Below are 20,590 nucleotides of genomic sequence, written 5' to 3'. Positions count from 1 at the left end.
GAAATGCCCATTAAATTTTAAAACAATTTTCTGTTATTAAAATTGATGATAAAAATGATGCAACTATTGATTGTGGTATAATACTATCTAGGGTATATTTAGTAATTAAATTTTTATGCCAAAGAGTATCTTAAATGTACTCAAATTTTCCATGGTTTCCAGTAAATTAATTATGCCTTCTATCTTGAAAAAGTAACATTAGTCCATTTTATATATTTGGAATTTTATAAATGTTTTTAAGAAATATTTATTTAGTTGATACACTGTTATTGTATGAATTTATGGGTTACAATTTGATGTTTTTATACAAGTGTATGTTATATAATGATCTAATCAGGGTAGGTAGCAAAGAAAATTTCCTGAAAATCAAACACAACTGTTTCAATATTCTTGCATTTGAAAATCTAAAGAATTTCTTTACCTTTTAAACCATGCCTTTGAACATAACAGTAGATGCCACATCTAGGAGTCGTTTCCAAGATGGCCAAATATGAACACAGCCAGTCTACATCTCCCAGCGGGACCAACAGAGAAGACAAGTGATTTCTGGATTTCCAACTGAGGTACCTGGTTCATCTCATTGGGACAGGCTGGACAGTGGGTGCAGCCCACGGAGGTCAAGCTGAAGACACATGCATACATATGTTTCTTGCAGCACTATTCACAATAGCAAAGACTTTGAACCAACCCAAATGTCCATCAATAATAGACTGGATAAAAAAAATGTGGCACATATACACCATGAAATACTATACAGCTATAAAAAAGGATGAGTTCATGTCCTTTGCAGGGACATGGACGAAGCTGGAAACCATCATTCTCAGCAAAATATCACAAGGACAGAAAACCAAACACCACATATTCTCACTCATAACTGGGAGTTGAACAATGAGAACACATGAACACAGGGAGGGGAACATCACACACTGGGGCCTTTTGGGGGGTGGTGGCCTGAGGGAGGGATAGCATTAGGAGAAATACCTAATGTAAATGACAAGTTGATGGGTGCAGCAAACCACATGGCACATGTATACATGTGTAACAAACCTGCACGTTATGCACATGTACCCTAGAACTTAAAGTATAATAATATAAAAGAAGATGCCACATTTAGTGCACATTGTACACTGTTTTTATATCTTCTTTAGTAGACAAAACACATTTGTGCTGAATAAGGAAGGAAGAATCCTTATTTGATGTGGGAAAAGGTGATTTGAGAGGATTTCTGTATGAAAGAAAGACTTTATAGGTCATGACTCAAGACTACCCACTGGGATCCTGTAAACACATGTGGGGGACATGAGACAGAAACTAACATGGACTTGGGCATATGAAACAAAGGAAGCCTGCAGTCTGGATCTCAGGACAGAATCATCTTCAGGGGACCACCAAGACTGTGGCAGGGTGCCCAGGAGAGTAGACAGGTCCGAGTGGCCTGTGTCAGAGAAGCACTGTGGCAGTCCCTTAGAGCTCCTACGCAACACAAGGAAGCCCAGAGGAGGAGGGGATCCTGAAAGACCCCTGCTTTCCCTGAGAATGCTCTGGAAGTGGGAATTGAACATTTCACACTTCCTCAGTAGAAACCACTAAGCATAGAGTAGCCACAACTTGGTTTATACTGAAGGAAGAAATGAGAGCAAGGAATGTAAATAAAAGTGACCTGTTTATTTTAAATTTTTTAATGTCTGTGTTCAGTCCATTTGAATTATTCATTAAACAACATAGTTGCTTCATGTCCTTTGCAGGCACATGAAATGCATAATGACATTTACTTAAAAAGAAGCCCAAATACAAATGTCCCAAAGATCCAAGATTCAAGTGATAACCATTATGCCAAATCTTTTGTTAAAGAGCAGGGCACGGTGGCACAGGCCTGTAATTCCACCTATGGGGAGACCAAGGGAGGAGGATTGTTACACGCCCACGGGTTCAATTACCCATTGAGTGGTAGCAGACCAAAACATCAAAACAGTGGGAGTTGCAGCAGAGAAGGAGTTTAATAATCATATGTCAGCTGAAGTATGTCTGGAGTTTGTTCCTTCCGGTGGGTTCGTGGTCTCACTGACTTGGGACCCTCGCGGTGATTGCTACAGCTCTTAAAGGTGGTGCGGACCCGAAGACTGAGCAGCAGCAAGATTGGTGCATTTTTACAGAGTGCTGATTGGTACATTTATAATCCTCTTGTAAGACACAAAATTTTCCTAAGTCCCCACCCGACCCAGGAAGTCCAGCTGGCTTCATCGCTCTGAAGAAAGAAAAGAAAGGAAGCCTCATATCAGCCTTCTGGAGAGACTTGGAGATGACGTTTTTAAGGAGTCTGGACGGGTGATGAGCTGAAGTGTGGGGACTGCTGATTGGTCGAGAAGTGAGTGATGGAGTCACTAGACAGCGAGATGAAGATGCTGCATCCTGCACTGAGTCAGTTTCTCAGACAAGCTCCACAGACCCCCTGCGTCAGTGGATCCACTAGAATTCAGGATCCGGAAAACATTTTAAATAGAAAACTTGAGGTTTCCTAAAATTAAAGATGATATCTAAAGAAACAATTAACGGTAGTTAGGACCCTGTGAGAAGGGCTACCTGACTTTTAAGCAGTAAGCAGTCATACGGAAGTAGGCTATCGGGCGAGCTGGTTCATGCTTAGTGTATGCTTCTACTAAAAGTTTATGCTTTTGGCTAAAAACCCAGCAATTTAGTTTTCTTCACTTTATGAGAATAGTTTTAGCATGACTTGCACTGAGGTGTTTGAGACCAGCCTTGGCAACACAGTAAGACGGTGTCTAAAAAAAAGTATCTACAGGAATCATTCCCATGACTATTGCCTAGATATGGATGGGATTCTGCTCTTCATAAGTAGATATATATGTAGTAAAATATGTTTCATTAATGAATCAAGAGATTTAATATAGAAAAGATTTCATTTTCCCACAAATCATGCTCTAGATGGTAAGAATTCACACTGAGACACAAAACTTTTTTCCTATAGACATTTTGCTGGTTGATTCTAATTATTATGTGAAAATGCAATGGGCTAAGAATACATAAACATGCTTTGAGGTATGAATAATTTGAACATAGAACAGGTACTTAAGAGCATCATCTGGGCATGTGAAGAGGAAAAGACCAAGCCACTGATGGTAACAGATAATAGTCTGTGGAGCCATAGAGAAAAGAGATTATTACAATACATTGTGATGACACATGTTATTATTAGAAATAGTAGGATGTATGAGAGTAGAATATAAAGATAAAGTTGAACAAGCACATTCAACATGCTTCCTCATGTAGATGATACCTGATGTGTACCCTGAGAAAAGGGAGAAATGAGGATTCACGCAGTGAAAGAAACTTGTGAGGATAGAGAACAATGCATTAAAGGTAAAACCAATTGTATCCTTAATGTAATGAAGGACTGCCTTTTCAAAACTTGTTCAGAAAACTGCATTCAACTTAAGATGAAGAGAACATAAAGTTCCAGGTACAGTGTGATCCTGCCAGTGTAGGAGTGAATTAGCCAGTGGAGAGAATCACATACCCTACTAAAGAAAATGACATCATCAAAATATATTTTAATTAGATAGTTCTAGGAACTTTTCAAGCCAGTCTAGATTGATTGATTATTGATTTCATTAAAGATGTGCCACATATTTTATGTTATTAAAACTGTACAACATGATGTTTGACATCCAACTACATGTTGAAATGATTACTACACTCAAATTATACAGCACTTTCCATAGTTACAATCTTTATAGTAAGAGGACTTAAAACCCATTCTCTTAGCAAATTTTCAATATATAATACAGTATAAGTTTTATGGAAATAATGTTGATGCTTTTAGGCACATGCCTAAGCAGGTATAAAAATAGTGGAGCAGAGGATTTGACCCCAACCCAAGCTGTATAGATGTGTTGATTTATGAGAAAAATAAGTAGAAATAAAATTGTCCAGGCAGAATGTCTTGTATGAGAATACCGGTGGCAACCAAGGGGGCAGAAATTGAGTGTGTTGTGATGTGACTGGGGAATGGTTCAAATAATCTACTCCACACTCAGTAGACTGTAACTCCTATAGAATCTCTTGTAAAGAAACTCTTGTTTTTCTAAAGACAAATTGGCTTATCCCCAAAAATAATTATTTATCCTGAGGTAAATTTATTAATAAATCATTACTTTAGGAAAAAGAATAAGCTATACCCACCGGTTGAGAGAAAATACAATACTATCTTATATTCAATTAGATTCAGTAATCTTAAATAATTTATTATTTTTGTCTTAATAATAATGAGAAATGAATGACATATAACTATTATGCTGAATGCTATGATTAGTTTGAACATTTATTATTTTAATTTTAATGAAACCCTACTGCCCACAATTTAGTGGAAAATAAATGATCTATATTTTGATAAAAAGAAACAGCAAAAACAAAACAACATAGATGTCTTAGAATATGCAATTATAATGTCAAGACTCAATTTTAAAAAATTTTCTAGAGTAATTTTTGTTCCACGCTCCTGGCATGGAATATTATTTTTCGTAACTGCTGTACACTGCTAAGTTGATGTGAGGCTAGTGCTTGGACTCTAAGGCAGAAAGTTTGTCTTCATCTTCACAGGGAAGATTCTCTGACTCACTCGTGTCAGGGCCCCCATCACCTCCCTGTTTCTCAGGCTGTAGATGATGGGGTTGAGCATTGAGGTGAGGATGGTGTAGAACACAGCCAGAACCTTGTCCTCTGTTGGAGATTGCAGGTATCTTGGATATAGATAGGTATAAGCAAACATTGCATAGTAGAAAATTACTACAGTGAGGTGGGTGCTACAGGTCGAATAGGCCTTCTTCCTCCCTTCTGCAGATTTAATGTGGTAGACAGTAAGGAGAACCTCACCATAGGAACATGCAATACCAATAAAGGTAAACATGAGAAAGAGGGTTGTGCTCAAAAACACTGTGCACTCATAGACCCAGGTGTCCACGAAGGCCAGAGTCACCATGGCTGGGACATCACAGCCCTGGCTGAGCAACAGGGATATGGGGCATATATGAAATGTGAGCACAAGTGTCGATAGAGCCCATTATCCAAGATCCTATTATCATCAGCACATACTATCTTGCTCATATGGATGGGATAGTGGAGAGGAAAGCAAACAGCTACATAATGATCACAGGCCATTGATGTCAGTGGCAGCATTTCTGCACCTGCTAAAGTCACAAAGAAGAAACTCTGAATTCCACACCCAATGAAGGAAATAGACTTGTTTCCAAACAGAAAATCAGAAAACATCTGGGGACAATAGTGGAGATGTAATTTAGGTCAATGAGGTAGAGCCGACTAAGTAAGAAATAAATGGGCGTGTGGAGATGAGTGTCCAAGAAGATGAGAAGGATCACGGACTGATTGCCAATTAAAGCCAATAGCAAAATGAGAACAAGGAGAATGAAGAGGAGAAAGCCAATTCTGGATGGTGGGAAGATCCCCAATAAGATGAAATCAGTTGATGTTTGATTGTATTTTTCCATGGGGCATTCCTACAATCCTTCCTGCAGGGCGGCAGAAAGATAAGTGAATTAGTTCCTCCTTATCCACAGGGGATGCATTCCAAGACCTCCAGGGAATGCCTGAAACTGAGGATAATATTGAGTCTCATATACACTATTTCCACTATTTCTTTGGATCCATATATACTTATGATAACATTCAGTTTATAAGTTAGGCAAGTAAGAGATTAACAAAAATAAAAATAAAATAGAACAATTATAAAAATACACCGTAGTAAACATTATGTAAATGTGGTCTCTTTTTTCTCTCTGTCAAAATAACTTTTTTTTTTAATATACTTTAAGTTCTGGGATACACGTGCTGAATGTGCAGGTTATGTAGGTATACATGTACCATGGTGGTTTGTTGCATCCATCAATCCATCACCTAGGTTTTAAGCCCCGCATGCATTAGGTATTTGTCCTAATGCTATCCCTCCTCTTGGCCCCCCCACAAAGGTTCTGGTGTGTGATGTTCCCCTCCATGTGTCCACGTGTTCTCACTGTTCAACTCTCGCTTATGAGTGAGATGTTTAGTTTTCTATTCCTGTGTTAGTTGGCTAGAGAATGATGGTTTCCAGCTTCATCCATGTCCCTGCAAAGGATATGAACTCGTTCTTTTTCATGGCTGCAGAGTATTCCATGATGTCTATGTGCCACATTTACTTTATCCAGTCTATCATTGATGGGCATTTGGGTTGGTTCCCAGCCTTAGCTATTGTAAATAGTGCTGCTATAAACATACGTGTGTCTGTGTCTTTATACTAGAGCGATTTATAATCCTTTAGGTATATACCCAGGAATGGGATTGCTAGAGCAAATGGTATTTCTGGTTCTAAATCCTTGAGCAATCGCCACACTGTCTCCCACAATGGTTGAACTAATTTACACTCCCATTAGTAGTGTAAAAGCTTTCCTATTTCTCCACTTGCTCACCAGCATCTGTTGTTTCCCGACATTTTAATGATCACCATTCTAACTGGCATGAGAAGATATCTTATTGTGGTTTTGATTTGCATTTCTCTAATGACTAGTGATAATGAGCTTTTTTTCAAATGTTTGTTGGCCACATAAATATCTTCTTTTGGGAAGTGTCTGTTCATATCCTTCGCCCACTTTTTGTAGTTCTCCTTTAACAGGCCCTGCACATTGCTTGTAAGTTGTATTCCTAGGTATTTTATTTTCTTTGTAGCAATTGTGAATGGGAGTTCACTCATGATTTGGCTCTCTGTCTGTCTATTATTGATGTATAAGAATGCTAGTGATTTTTGCACATTGATTTTGTATCCTGAGGCTTTGCTGAAGTTGCTTATCAGCTTAAGGAGTTTTTGGGTGGAGATGATGGGGATTTCTAAGTATACAATTATGTCATCTGCAAACAGAGGCAATTGGACTTCCTCCCTTCCTATTTGAATATCCTTTATTTCTTTCTCTTGCCTAATTGCCCTGGCCAGAACTTCCAATACTATGTTGCCCAGGAGTGGTGAGAGAGGGCATTTTTTGTCTTGTTATGGTTTTCAAATGGGATGCCTCCAGATTTTGCCCATTCAGTGTGACATTGGGTATGTGTTTGTCATAAATAGCTTTTATTAATTTGAGACATATTTCATCAATACCTAATTTATTGAGTGTTTTTAGCATGAAGGGGTGTTGAATTTTATTGAAAGCCTTTCCTGCATCTATCAAGATAATCATGTGGTTTTTGTCATTGGTTCTGTTTATTTGATGGATTGCATTTATTTATTTGCATATGTTGAATCAACCATGCATACCAGGGATGAAGCCAACTTGACCGTGGTGGATAAGCTTTTTGATGTACTGCTGGATTCAGCTTTCCAGTATTTTATTGAGGATTTTCACATCAATGTTCATTGGGGATATTGGCTTGAAATTTTGTTTTTTTGTTGTGTCTCTGCCAAGTTTTGGAATCAGGATGATGCTTGCCTCATAAAATGAGTTAAGGAGGAGTTCCTCTTTTTCTATTGTTTGGAATAGTTTCAGAATGAATGGTACCAACTCTTCTTTGTACCTCTGGTTGAATTTGGCTGTGAATCTGTCTGGTCCTGGGTTTTTTTTGTTTTGTTTTGTTTTTGTAGGCTATTAATTACTGCCTCAATTTCAGAACTTGTTATTGGTCTATTTAGGGATTCGACTTCTTCCTGGTTTAGTCTTGAGAGAGTGTATGTGTCCAGGAATTTATCCATTTCTTCCGGGTTTTCTAGTTTATTTGCATAGAGATGTTTATAGTATTCTCTGATGCGAGTTTGTATTTCTGTGGGATCAGTGGTGATATCCCCTTTATCATTTTTTATTGTGTCTATTTGATTCTTCTCTCTTTTCTTCTTTATTTGTCGCTAGTTGTCTATTTTGTTAATCTTTTCAAAAAACCAGCTCCTGGATTCACTGATTTTTTTGAAGGGTTTTTCATGTCTCCATCTCTTTCAGTTAAACTCTGATCTTGGTTATTTCTTGTCTTCTGCAGTCATTTGAATTTGTTTGCTCTTGCTTCTCTATTTCTTTTAATTGTGATGTTAGTGTGTCAATTTTAGATTTTTCCCCTTTTCTAATGTGGGCATTTAGTGCTATCAGTTTTCCTCTAAACACCGCTTTAGCTGTGTCCCAGATCTTCTGGTATGTTATGTCTTTGTTCTCACTGGTTTCAAACAACTTATTTATTTAAGCCTTAATTTCGTTATTTACCCAGTATTCATTCAGGAGCAGGTTGTTCAGTTTCCATGTAGTTGTACAGTTTTGAGTGAGTCCCTTAACCCTGAGTTCTAATTTGATTGCACTGTGGTCTCAGAGACTGTTTGCTATTACTTCTGCCCTTTTGCATTTGCTGAGGAGTGTTTGACTTCCAATTATGTGGTCAATTTTAGAATAAGGGTTATGTGTTGCTGAAAAGAATGTACATTCCATTGATTTGGGGTGGAGAGTTCTGTAGATGTCTATTCGGTCCGCTTGGTCCAGAGCTGAGTTCCAGTCCTGAATATCCTTGTAAATTTTCAGTCTCATTGATCTGTGTAATATTGACAGTGGGGTGTTAAAGTCTCCCACTATTATAGCGTGGAAGTTTAAGTCTAGCCATATGCAGAAAACTGAAACTGGACCCCTTTCTTACACCTTATACAAGAAGTTATACTCACTTTACTTTATCTAGATGAGGGTTAAACCAATTCACTTAATGTGTCTGAAAGAGAATATGGAAGCAGAATATTGATGACATGACCCTATCATCAAATTATGTCAATGTTTATGGGAATAAAACAGGTTTAAACTATAACAAATTGGCTGAGTTCTGTTAGATAGCCGAGAGCACAACCTGCAGGCTCAGGATAAATGCCTCAACCAACCTTTCTTCCACAATCCCTAGGTGCCACTACTTCCAAAGTACTGCAAGGACCTGCCAACCTGGATCTCGATGGCTGGTGCTCCCTAATAGTGTCTGCTCTACGTTCTTCTGCTCCTTATTTGAAGAAAAGAAAAGATTCAGACTAAAAAAAAGCAAAGTAAAAAAACAGTCTCCAGGTATGTGAAACTATTGTATCACAGTTAATTTTTGGATTTAATTTTTTTATCTTTGGAGATCACATGAGTATATATTTATAAATAAGTTGATATAGAAATAAATATATGTTTATATTTGTTTACTTGGTAAAATCAACAGTCTCTTTAAAGCTGCCAAATTTCTTGCCTGAAAATTACCGTATCTATATAGTCATTTATCAGTAAAGGAGTGAAGGACATGCCATCTCCCAAACAACAAATTGGAATATTGATTACTTTGAGTTAAATACATAGGAAGAATGGTTCTTTCAGAAAGGGCCAGCTGACCTGTCTCCTCCTGCATGCATGAAGCCATAAAGATTCCTCAGTGATAAAATAGCTCCATGTACCACGTTGATAAAATAGCTCTTACACCAGAGCCTGGGATCTGGGGCTGCAATGGATCTGAATAAATAAAGTTACGTGAGTAACTCTTCTACAAGTTTTACATCCCTTTGTATATCTCCTAGTGACTCACCTAGAAATTTATGTGTTTCTTTATAATATGCTTTGCCAGTTGGAATATAGTGAAGATTAATTTTAGAGTAAAAATAAAAAATCTTTATAAAATCGGGTTGACAATATAGGATGAAAACTGTAGAGTTAGTCTTGTCCCTTGGTACTATTGAATATGATCCAAGTTGCATTCTAAGAAGTAACCCAAAAGAAAGGGGGAAAAATCCTATATACACACAAGTTGTGGGTTTTTCCCCAAGATTCTTCATGATGCATAACAAGAAAAACTATTACAAAACTATTACATTGTTGCCATGGAATACAATATGAAAGCGAAGGTGATCTCAGAGACCATGTTTTTTGTTTGTTTGTTTTTAATTATTATTATACTTTAAGTTTTAGGGTACATGTGCACAATGTACAGGTTAGTTACATACGTATACATGTTAATTGACAGGCAAATGTCATGTTTTACAAATTTTATAAAATGTATATGAGAGACTATAAAATGGAATAGTTATTAAATTATTAGGGGAGATCCAGATTCTTTGTTTACAAAATGCTATTAATTTTGAGGAAATCCTCAAAATTATGGAAATAATTTTGGAAATAAAAAAATAAAACATCCTCCCTGGCAACACAGGTTTTCTTAATTCTGGCAGGTTATTACAATGCTGTAGTACATGACCAAAACATAAGCATTCAGTAACTGACTGAAGTATAGTTCTGCATAGGAGTTGGCCGGGAAGTGAAAAACCTGGCGGAATTAACCCAAAAGCTTCAGAGAACACCAACCCATGTTGTATGCACTCAGTCTCAGAGTCTTAGCAATAATCTGCATCAGGAGCAGCCATCATGTAGAAGGTTCCTAGTATTCCATGGCTCTGGCCCCCTGGATCACCATGTAGATCTCATCGGTGCTTTTGCTGCTGGTACAAAATGCAAGGCATCTGAATAAAGCCCTTAGCTTCAGGCTCTGAAAATGCCAACTGGATCACATTTAGGAGAAAAAAGATTACCAAATACTTTCTACATTTCATGCAGATTATTTTCAAATCTGGAGATATTTAATCCTGGCAGAAAATGGCCTGTTTTGCTAATATACTGCTAACATCAGGATATGACTAATTTGAAAGTGAGGTCTGCTTTAAACTATTGTTAAATGAGATAGCATTTGTAAAGTAATTATCTCCTTCTTGGGAAAGCATCCAATCCTGCTAGCCTACACTTTGTTAATAACCAATGTGTCAAGAAAGAGCTAGTAATAACATAGGGGAACGTGTGTTATAAAAATGCCTTGTCCCATGAAGACTTCATGACTAAAACACCAAAAGCAATGGCAACAAAAGCCAAAATTGACAAATGGGATCTAATTAAACTAAAGAGCTTTTGCACAGCAAAAGAAACTACCATCAGAGTGAACAGGCAACCTACAGAATGGGAGAAAATTTTGCAATCTACCCATCTGACAAAGGGCTAATACCCAGAATCTATGAAGAACTTAAACAAATTTACAAGAAAAAAACAAACAACCCCATCAAAAAATGGGCAAAGGATATGAGCAGACACTTCTCAAAAGAAGACATTTATGCAGGAAACAGACACATGAAAAAATGCTCATCATCACTGGTCATCAGAGGAATGCAAATCAAAACTACAATGAGATACCATCTCACGCCAGTTAGAATGGTGATCATTAAAAAGTCAGGAAACAACAGATGTTGGAGAGGATGTGGAGAAATAGGAACACTTTTACACTGTTGATGGAAGTGTAAATTAGTTCAACCATTGCGGAAGACAGTGTGGCGATTCCTCACGGATCTAGAACTAGAAATACCATCTGACCCAGCCATCCCATTACTGGGTATATACCCAAAGGATTATAAATCATGCTGCTATAAAGACACATGCACACGTATGTTTATTGCAGCACCATTCACAATAGCAAAGACTTGGAACCAACCCAAATGTCCATCAATGATAGACTGGATTAAGAAAATGTGGCACATATACACCATGGAATACTATGCAGCCATAAAAAAGGATGCGTTCATGTCCTTTGCAGGGACATGGATGGAGCTGGAAACCATCATTCTCAGCAAACTATCACAAGGACAGAAAACCAAACACCATATGTTCTCAGTCATAGGTGGGAATTGAACAATGAGAACACTTGGATACAGGGTGGGGAACATCACTCACCTGGGCCTGTTGGGGGGTGGGGGGCTGGGGGAAGGATAGCACTAGGAGAAATATCTAATGTAAATGACAAGTTGATGGGTGCAGCAAACCAACATGGCATATGTATACCTATGTAACAAACCTGCACAGTGTGCACATGTACCCTAGAACTTAAAGTATACTAAAAAAAATAAATAAATAAAAATGTCTTGTCCCAAAAGGTATTCTTCCAAAAGCAGGATGGTTCCATTGAACTCTTCTAATCTTAAAACTTCTTAGTTTTATGATTTAGGGTAAGTTACATAAACTCTCTGACATTCAGTTTAATTATCTATAAAAGTGGAGTCATATTCTCCTTTTATATTATAAAGTTTATTATTATTTATGGTTATTATGATTATTCATGGTTTACTTTATGCGATGAATAAAAAGCACCACATATATGCTTTTTACACACAAACGTTTGTTCCTCTTTCTCCTTTCTACTTTCTGTAACAGAAAGTCTTGATTTCTGATATGATACACAGTAATGAGAAGAGATTTAAAAGGAAGAAGAAGGAGAACGAGAGGAGGAGGATGAGGAGAAGGAGAAAAAGAAGAAAGAAAGAAGAAAGAAGGAAGAAGAAGAAGAGGAAGAGGACGAGGAAGGAGGAGGAAGGAAGGACGAGGAGGAGAAGGAGGAGGAGGAGAAGGAGGAAGAGGAGGAGAACTTACAACTGGTTAGGAAGTAAAAGACATTGTGAAATTATTTTTTAATAATACTAGGATTCTCAAAAATAATATATAAAGAGCTGTTTGAGATTCATATTTAAATAGGTAGGTAATTATAGGAGGTCAATGAAGTAAGGGGGGAGGAAAAAGAAAAAATAGAAATCAAAAGCTGGTATTTCTGGACAAATTGATTAAATAAAAAATAATCAAATGTTTAATAATGGAATATTGATACTAAAAAACATCAATAGTATCAATAACAATAATTTGATATATTAATTTTGTATTAATAAATGACTGAGGCTGGGCGCAGTGGCTCATGCCTGTAATCCCAGCACTTTGGGAGGCCAAGGCAGAAGGATCACTTGAGATCAGGAGTTCGAAACCAGCCTGAGCAACATGGTGAAAACCAGTCTCTACTAAAAATACAAAAATTAGCCGGGTGTGGTGGCGGGTGCCTGTAATCTCAACTATTTGGGAGCCTGAGGCAGGAGAATCGCTTGAACCCGAGGGGCAGAGGTTGCAGTGAGCCAAGCTCAAGCCACTGCACTCCAGCCTGGGCGAGAGAACAAGACTCTATCTCAAAAAAACAAAAAAACAAACAAACAAACAAAAAAAGAAAGAAAGAAAGAAATGAATGGATGATGTGCATTGTGTCTTAAGAGAATATTTTCTGAAAATAGAGGCAGAGGGAAAAGCAGTTGTGTAATCCCCCTTAAAGGAACTTGTCAGAAGTGCCTGGGTGGCCCCGGGTGTGCACCTCGTGTGTGTGTGTGTGTGTGTGGTGTGTGGTGTGTTTGCATGCACAAAAGGTGTTACGGTGCAGAAGGAAAAGAGTCACATCAATAGATACTCCTGTCTTTGTTTCACCCTACTCTCTTTTCTACTGCCACCTGTCATGATTTTCCCTTCAGATGCTGTAAGCTTTGACTCTTCTCTTCCTCAAGATAAGAAAACAGCAATTTCTTTCCTGTTAATACATTATTCAATATTAATAAATTTCAATCACTGGATTTTCTTAAAGAAACATTATTAATCAAGCATGAAAACCACGAAAGGAAAACAGGAACAGAAATTAAGTTTGCCGATCAGCAGAGATTTCTGTCAGCTTTCATTTTTGTTTACTCTCACATGACCAGTGTCTGTAACAGTGTCACACACAAATTAAAGCATTAAAACACCTGAGTGAAAGAAGGAATAAATGAATTATGCATTTTTCTCTCTGTTAACTTTGGTTGTTATATAGATTATCTTGAGGTTAAATGTTTAAGTAGATTTTATTTTTATGGTTCACATTTCAGAGTATTCAAGAGGGCAAGTAAAAGCATTAAAATGCCAGGGGAACACAGATTTAAGAAGCCTGAATTCTATTGCTTTACAAGTTAAACAAGATTGATAAACACTGTTTTTGTGACTTCTATACAGAAAACACATATTTATATCTTTCCAGATAGTTTTCAGGAACAGCTTTTTATGTTGTTAATGCTCAATCAATACAGAGATCTGAAGTCATATTTTCTACAGCATATCCAATATCCCAACAGTCTCCTCACTGCCCCCGTCACTTCCTTATTTCTCAGGCTGTAGATAAATGGGTTCAGTAGAGGTGTGACAATGGTGTAAAATACTGCCACCGCCTTATCCCGTGAAGGGGAACGCAAGGAGTGTGGCCTTGTGTAGGTAAAGAGAGTGGTTGCATAGAACAGGCTTGCCACAATCAGGTGGGAGGAACAAGTGGAAACAGCTTTTGCCTGTCCTTTTCCTGAGCTCATCTGGAATACCACAATAAGCACACGAGCATAGGAAGCCAGAATGGCTAGGAATGGTAGTAGCAAGATAATAAGTCCACTCAGGAGGACTGTATACTCATACTGGGAGGTGTCCTGACACACCAATGATAGTAGAGCTGGAACTTCACAGAAAAAGTGGTTAATGAGCCGAGACCTACAGAATGGAAGCTGAAACACATACAATGTATGTATGAAAGCATTGATAGAACCACTGGCCCATGCACATGCAACCATGAGGCAGCAGATCTTCTTGCTCATAAGCATAGGATAATGTAAAGGGTGACAGATAGCTACATAGCGATCATAAGACATAAAACCAAGGAGAAGGGCTTCAGTTCCACCAAGGGCCAAGAACACATACGTTTGAATCTCACAGCCCAAAAATCTAATGGTCTTACTCTGTGAGAGGAAGCTGACTGCCATCTTGGGCACTGTGGTGGAGATGTACATGAGGTCAACGATGGAGAGCTGACTGAGCAGAAAGTACATTGGAGTGTGGAGTCTGGTGTTCAGTCGAATGAGGTGGATCAGCATGATATTTCCTGTCAGAGCAACTGTAAAGAGGGTGGCAATGACGACAAAGAGAAGAGAGTTTATCCAGCCATATTGGAAAAGACCAACAAGTAGAAAATCTGTCCCAAAACTTTGATTTCCTGTTTTCATGGCTGAAACCAAAATATCAAAGGAGATGACATCTGAAATGTTCATGTAATAATGTTGACTTCCCTTAAGAGAAAGTAAAATGACATGGCATTCAGAAATAAATATTCACTTACATGTTTGGCAACTATCTACATGTTTAGAGCACAAAGTGCTTTCTGGTACAAAATGGCAAACACATTCTCGCATACTGTTACTGGGATGCAAATTTTTATAACTTTTTGGAAGAATTACCTAATGTATAGACAGATTATATATGCAAACATACATGAGATAACTTAAATTATATGTAAGTATATGTACATATACATATATAATACTTAAATATACTTACATATAGTAATAGAAATATATGTAAATGTATATTTATATACACTTAAGTATATATGAATTATATATACTCATAGTTATATATCTTTTAAAGACAAGTATATTTTATATACACGTATCTATAAACATATTACTCATGTGTATTTATGAATATTATATAAAAATATATGTAATTTCTATATATACTTCAATATATTATATATTACATATATGCTAATATATAACATGCATGCTTATGTATGTGTACAGCAATACATATACACATATATACACATATGTGTGTAAACTTATAAAAAAGATAAAAGTTTAAGAACACGTATCATAGATGTGTAGAAGAAAATTCATAGCAGCATTACTCAAAATAGTCAGAAACTGAAAATGTCCCAAAGTAGAATGAATTAATGAACTATGCTATGTTAATATAAAATAGAGTATTAAATATTATTCTAAAAACCAGAGAAATGTAAAGTAACACCACCATGCACTATATATACCAGAATTGTGAAACTTTAAAAATAATAAAAGAAATACACAGAAAAATTGTGTGGATGATAAATTTGATCATTATGACTTCCAAAGTCTTCCAATAGAGTGCAAATTTCATACTCTTTGGAAGTCATGTGTTATTTTCTAGTAAATTTGGAATTTACTTGTGCTATAACGCAGCAGTTCCTGGGTATATAATCAATTAGAGCTTTGCACAGGAAGACCAGTAGATTTCTATAGCCATCTCCATTACAGCATCAGATGTGATAGAATCCAAATAGGTGCCCATCAATCCTGATATGGCTAAACACACTGCAGTAAGATGACACAATGAAATATTATATGTCAATAAAAATGAGAGACAGGAATGTGTCATAAACACAAAACTCACTGGAGGCCAAACTCAGTAGAATAAGTGGTTTAAAATTAATGTACACTGTTTACACATTTCTTTAGAACTTATAAATAAAGTATGAAGAGTATTACTACAAGATAAGATAGTAATTACATTCAGGTGGAAGGAGGACTTTTTGTTTGGAAATGGGAATGCAAAGGGCTTCTGAGCGTGCTGACATTGGTCTATATCCTGAACTGGCAAGTGGTCACACAGGTGTTCAATTTATCATACCTTGTTTCCTTGTGGTTATCTTGCCTATGGCTATGTGTGTGTATGTGTTTTAAATTTTACCATAACAACATTAATAAAAGTAAGATGCAGAATAGTAATTAATAAAAATAATATATGGTCATATATGTGTCTACCTATGGAATGATACACAATGAACTGGAAACCCTTTTTGTACTAGAGAGAGGACAGAGGACATATATGAGGAATGCAGATTGGAAAGAAAATCAGCCTAAATTCTAAATGTTTTTCTAATTTTATGCTTATGTTATTGTCATATATTAATTACTTATAACTATGCCAAAATTAACTAAAACATAGACATAAGAAAAAGGCATATCTCGATTATACTAAAAATCTGAAATCTGGAGTTTCAACCCAAGCATGTATGTTTTTCAAAATGCCCTTGAATATTCCTGAGATAGGAATTCAGCCGGACTTGTTTCAAAAGATACAAGGAACAAAGACTCCACTGATAAAACAGGATGTGGTAAATAAGCTGACTGAAACCTACCAAAACCATCATGGCAATGAAAGCCACCTCTGGTGGTCCTCACTGCTCATTATAATTAGAATACATTAACATACCAAAGGAAACTCCCACCAGCACCATGACAGTTTACAAATGCCATGGCAAAGTCCAGAAGTTACCCTATATGGTCTGAAAAGGTGAGGACCCCTCCGTTCCTGGAACTCCCCTCACCTTTCCCAGAAAACATGAAGAATTCACTCCTTGTTTAGCATATAATCAAGAAATAACAACCCCAAGTATGTGGTAAGCTCATGCTGCTACTCTGCCTATGAGTAGGCACCTTTTTATTCCTTGACTTTTCAATAAACTTGCTTTCACTTTACTCTGTTGGCTTGCTCTTGAATTCCTTCCTGCATGAAGGCAAGAACCCACATGGCATCCCGGGCTGAGCCTCAATTTTGCGGTTTGCCCTGTGATAATCTGACTAGAACATTTGCAAGTCCAAACTTATCTATTTCTTCAATTTATTGTGTATTGAAATTTGAGTCTTATTCTTAAAAAAAGAAAATACATGTATTATTTAGAAATTAAAGAAAAATAATTTACAAGAATAATAATATGAGCAAGGAATTGCATCAAATATTTTTGTCATATTTAGGAGTATTTTTCCTGGATTTCTTTAAAACATGCAACTATCTAGGAACAATTAAATTTGGCGATTTGTAGAAAGTCAATTAAAACTACCTGGGAAGATACAGTGCAACTATATTTCTAACAAAGCAGTTTATTAGGAGGCCAAAAAGATGTTTTAGCTGATAATAGTAAAAGTAGACACTTCTGCTATAATGTGATAGTTAGATTTTCAAAAAAGTTTACGCTGGTAAAACTGCACATTGAAAAGGTGAAATTTATAGGGCAAATAGGGATAAACCATTCAATACTTATGAGATATTTAATCAGGTCATTAACTCTAACTTGTGATAAAATTAGTAGCCCTGATGAATTTCTACTTGCAGTTTAAATCAGTGTCACACAGCCAGTGTCTGCTTCCTGACATTCAGCCCTTCTCCTTCTCCTGGAGTCAATACTTTCTTCTGTGAATGGTAGATACTTGTATTAATTTACTTTCAATAGTCTACTGAATCAGTAGTTAGCATCTGATCCCTGGTAGCTGTCTCCACTAATTAAGATTTAGCACCAGGGAAATATCTTTGCAATTACCTAATTGGCACTCTAGTCTCACCAGTTTACAATTATAGAATTCATAGAGGATACTGAAGGTAAATAACCCACTACTTCTGGTAAAGGCACAACTTCTGTGAAATTTTTAAGTTTACTCAGTATATTTACATATTTCTTAGACTTTCTCCTCTGGGCCAAAGCAAAAAATTGGACTCCATTCTGAAAATCTGGAAATCTGAGATGGAGGAGGGGAGGGATCATATGATCACACTGGAAGCAGCAACGAAAATAGGTTCTCCCTGACCAAATTGGCCCCCTTCCAGTAACTGTTCTAATCTTTACAAGTAAGATTCTGAATTTTTAATGAGTCAAAAGTTAAAAATCGGGTGGCTCATACATTTTCAGAAACACACGAGAATCAGGCTTTTTTTTTGGCCTTTGCCAAAGTGTGTAATACTGAGCTCTGCTAGCTACCAAATATCCAAAAATGTAAACTGCATTTTATCCATGAAATTATTTAAACACCGTCTGGAAAGACACCCCAAAGTTCTACCCAGTCATTGCCTCCCAATAAAAACACAGGGAGTCCTCCTCTTCAGGTCCAGACATGGCTTCTTTCTCTGGATGTGGATCCTGATCTTGGGACAAATTTCTGACCCAATATTGTCCATGATCCCTGACTCTACTAGGAGATATTTCCTTGTATATTATCCATGGTCCATCTGAACCGGACATCGGAGTCTTTGCCTTCCTTGAATCTAGGCAGTTCAATTAGCCTGCTTCCCAAAGGGCACCTTACTTTACCATCACAAGCCTTACAAACAGGCTTGTAGATTACTTATCATTACATTCCCATCCTTTCTCATCTATCTGCCTCAAGTCAATTTCATGAGCCACAGTCCACATGCCCAATTCCTTCCAAGACCCAGTTCTCAATACTATCTTCTTACAAATACTTCCTCAAACCTATGCAATGTGGTCTTCCTTGAGGTTACTTGACCTGACAGTTCTAGGCTGGAGATTATGCCCATTTATCTGTCTGTGTCCTGGTGATGTGTGGAATTTATTCCAGGCTCATATTGGGCATTGTGCATAATGTGTGTATACCAAGCCTGATTCTTCTGTGTTTCTGAAAATTTATGAGCCACCCGATTTTTAAAAATGTTTCTTTTATATCTCAATGAAAATAAATTTTCTGGAGGTGGAGCCAAGATGGCCGAATAGGAACAGCTCTAGTCTACAGCTCCCAGCGTGAGCGACGCAGAAGACGGGTAATTTCTGCATTTCCAACTGAGGTACCGGGTTCATCTCACACAGGATTGTCGGACAGTGGGTACAGGACACTGGGTGCAGCACACTGAGCGTGAGCCAAAGCAGGGCAAGGCATGGCCTCACCTGAGAAGTGCAAGGGGTCAGGGAAATCCCTTTCCTAGTCAAAGAAAGGGGTGACAGACAGCACCTGGAAAATCGGGTCACTCCCACCCTAATACTGCACTTTCGAATGGTCTTAGCAAATGGCACACCAGGAGATTAATCCCGCGCCTAGCTCAGAGGGTCCTACGCCAACGGAGCCTCACTCATTGCTAGCACAGCAGTCTGAGATCCAACTGCAAGGTGGCAGCGAGGCTGGGGGAGGGGTGCCTGCCATTGCTGAGGCTTGAGTAGGTAAAAAAAAGCAGCCAGGAGGCTCGAACTGGGTGCAGCCCACCGCAGCTCAAGGAGGCCTGCCTGCCTCTGTAAACTCCACCTCTGGGGGCAGGGCATACCTGAACAAAAGGCAGCAGAAACCTCTGCAGACTTAAAGGTCCCTGTCTGACAGCTTTGAAGAGAGTAGTGGTTCTCCCAGCATGCAGCTGAAGATCTGAGAACAGACAGACTGCCTCCTCAAGTGGGTCCCTGACCCCTGAGTAGCCTAAATGGGAGGCACCCCCCAGTAGGGGTGGACTGACACCTCACACGGCCTGGTACTCCTCTGAGACAAAACTTCCAGAGGAACGATCAGGCGGCAACACTTGCTGTTCACCAATATCCGCTGTTCTGCAGCCTCCGCTGCTGATACCCAGGTAAACAGGGTCTGGAGTGGACCTCCAGCAAACTCCAACAGAACTGCAGCTGAGGGTCCTGACTGTTAGAAGGAAAACTAACAAACAGAAAGGACATCCACACCAAAACCCCATCTGTACGTCACCATCATCAAAGACCAAAGGTAGATAAAACCACAAAGATGGGGAAAAAACAGAGCAGAAAAACTGGAAACTCTAAAAATCAGAGCGCCTCTCCTCCTCCAAAGGAACGCAGTTCCTCACCAGCAATGGAACAAAGCTGGACGGAGAATGACTGACGAGTTGAGAGAAGAAGGCTTCAGATGATCAAACTACTCTGAGCTAAAGGAGGAAGTTCGAACCCATTGCAAAGAAGTTAAAAACCTTGAAAAAAATTAGATGAATGGCTGACTAGAATAACCAATGCAGAGAAGTCCTTAAAAGACCTGATGGAGCTGAAAACCAAGGCACAAGAACTACGTGACGAATGCACAAGCCTCAGTTGCCACTTCAATCAACTGGAAGAAAGGGTATCAGTGATGGAATATCAAATGAATGAAATGAAGTGA

At 38.0% G+C, this 20,590-nt stretch overlaps 2 protein-coding genes and 1 pseudogene across 3 annotated transcripts in view; all 3 read right to left on the bottom strand.

Moving 5' to 3' along the window:
• Positions 1-20,590, bottom strand: part of OR2L13 (olfactory receptor family 2 subfamily L member 13) — a 163,987-nt gene that overhangs the window by 120,900 nt on the left and 22,497 nt on the right. The gene's annotated exons all lie outside the window — the stretch shown is intronic.
• OR2L9P (olfactory receptor family 2 subfamily L member 9 pseudogene) lies at positions 4,588-5,521 on the bottom strand (annotated as a pseudogene).
• On the bottom strand, positions 13,878-15,031 carry OR2AK2 (olfactory receptor family 2 subfamily AK member 2). Its single transcript, NM_001004491.2, has one exon. It carries the CDS (start codon positions 14,885-14,887, stop codon positions 13,925-13,927), a length of 963 nt encoding a protein of 320 aa, NP_001004491.2. The 5' UTR covers positions 14,888-15,031; the 3' UTR covers positions 13,878-13,924.

This window comes from Homo sapiens, chromosome 1 (assembly GCF_000001405.40).
Source record: "Homo sapiens chromosome 1, GRCh38.p14 Primary Assembly".
Taxonomy (NCBI): Eukaryota; Metazoa; Chordata; class Mammalia; order Primates; family Hominidae; genus Homo; species Homo sapiens.
The sequence above is the reverse complement of the archived record's forward strand: the minus strand, read 5'-3'. Positions and strand labels throughout refer to the sequence as shown.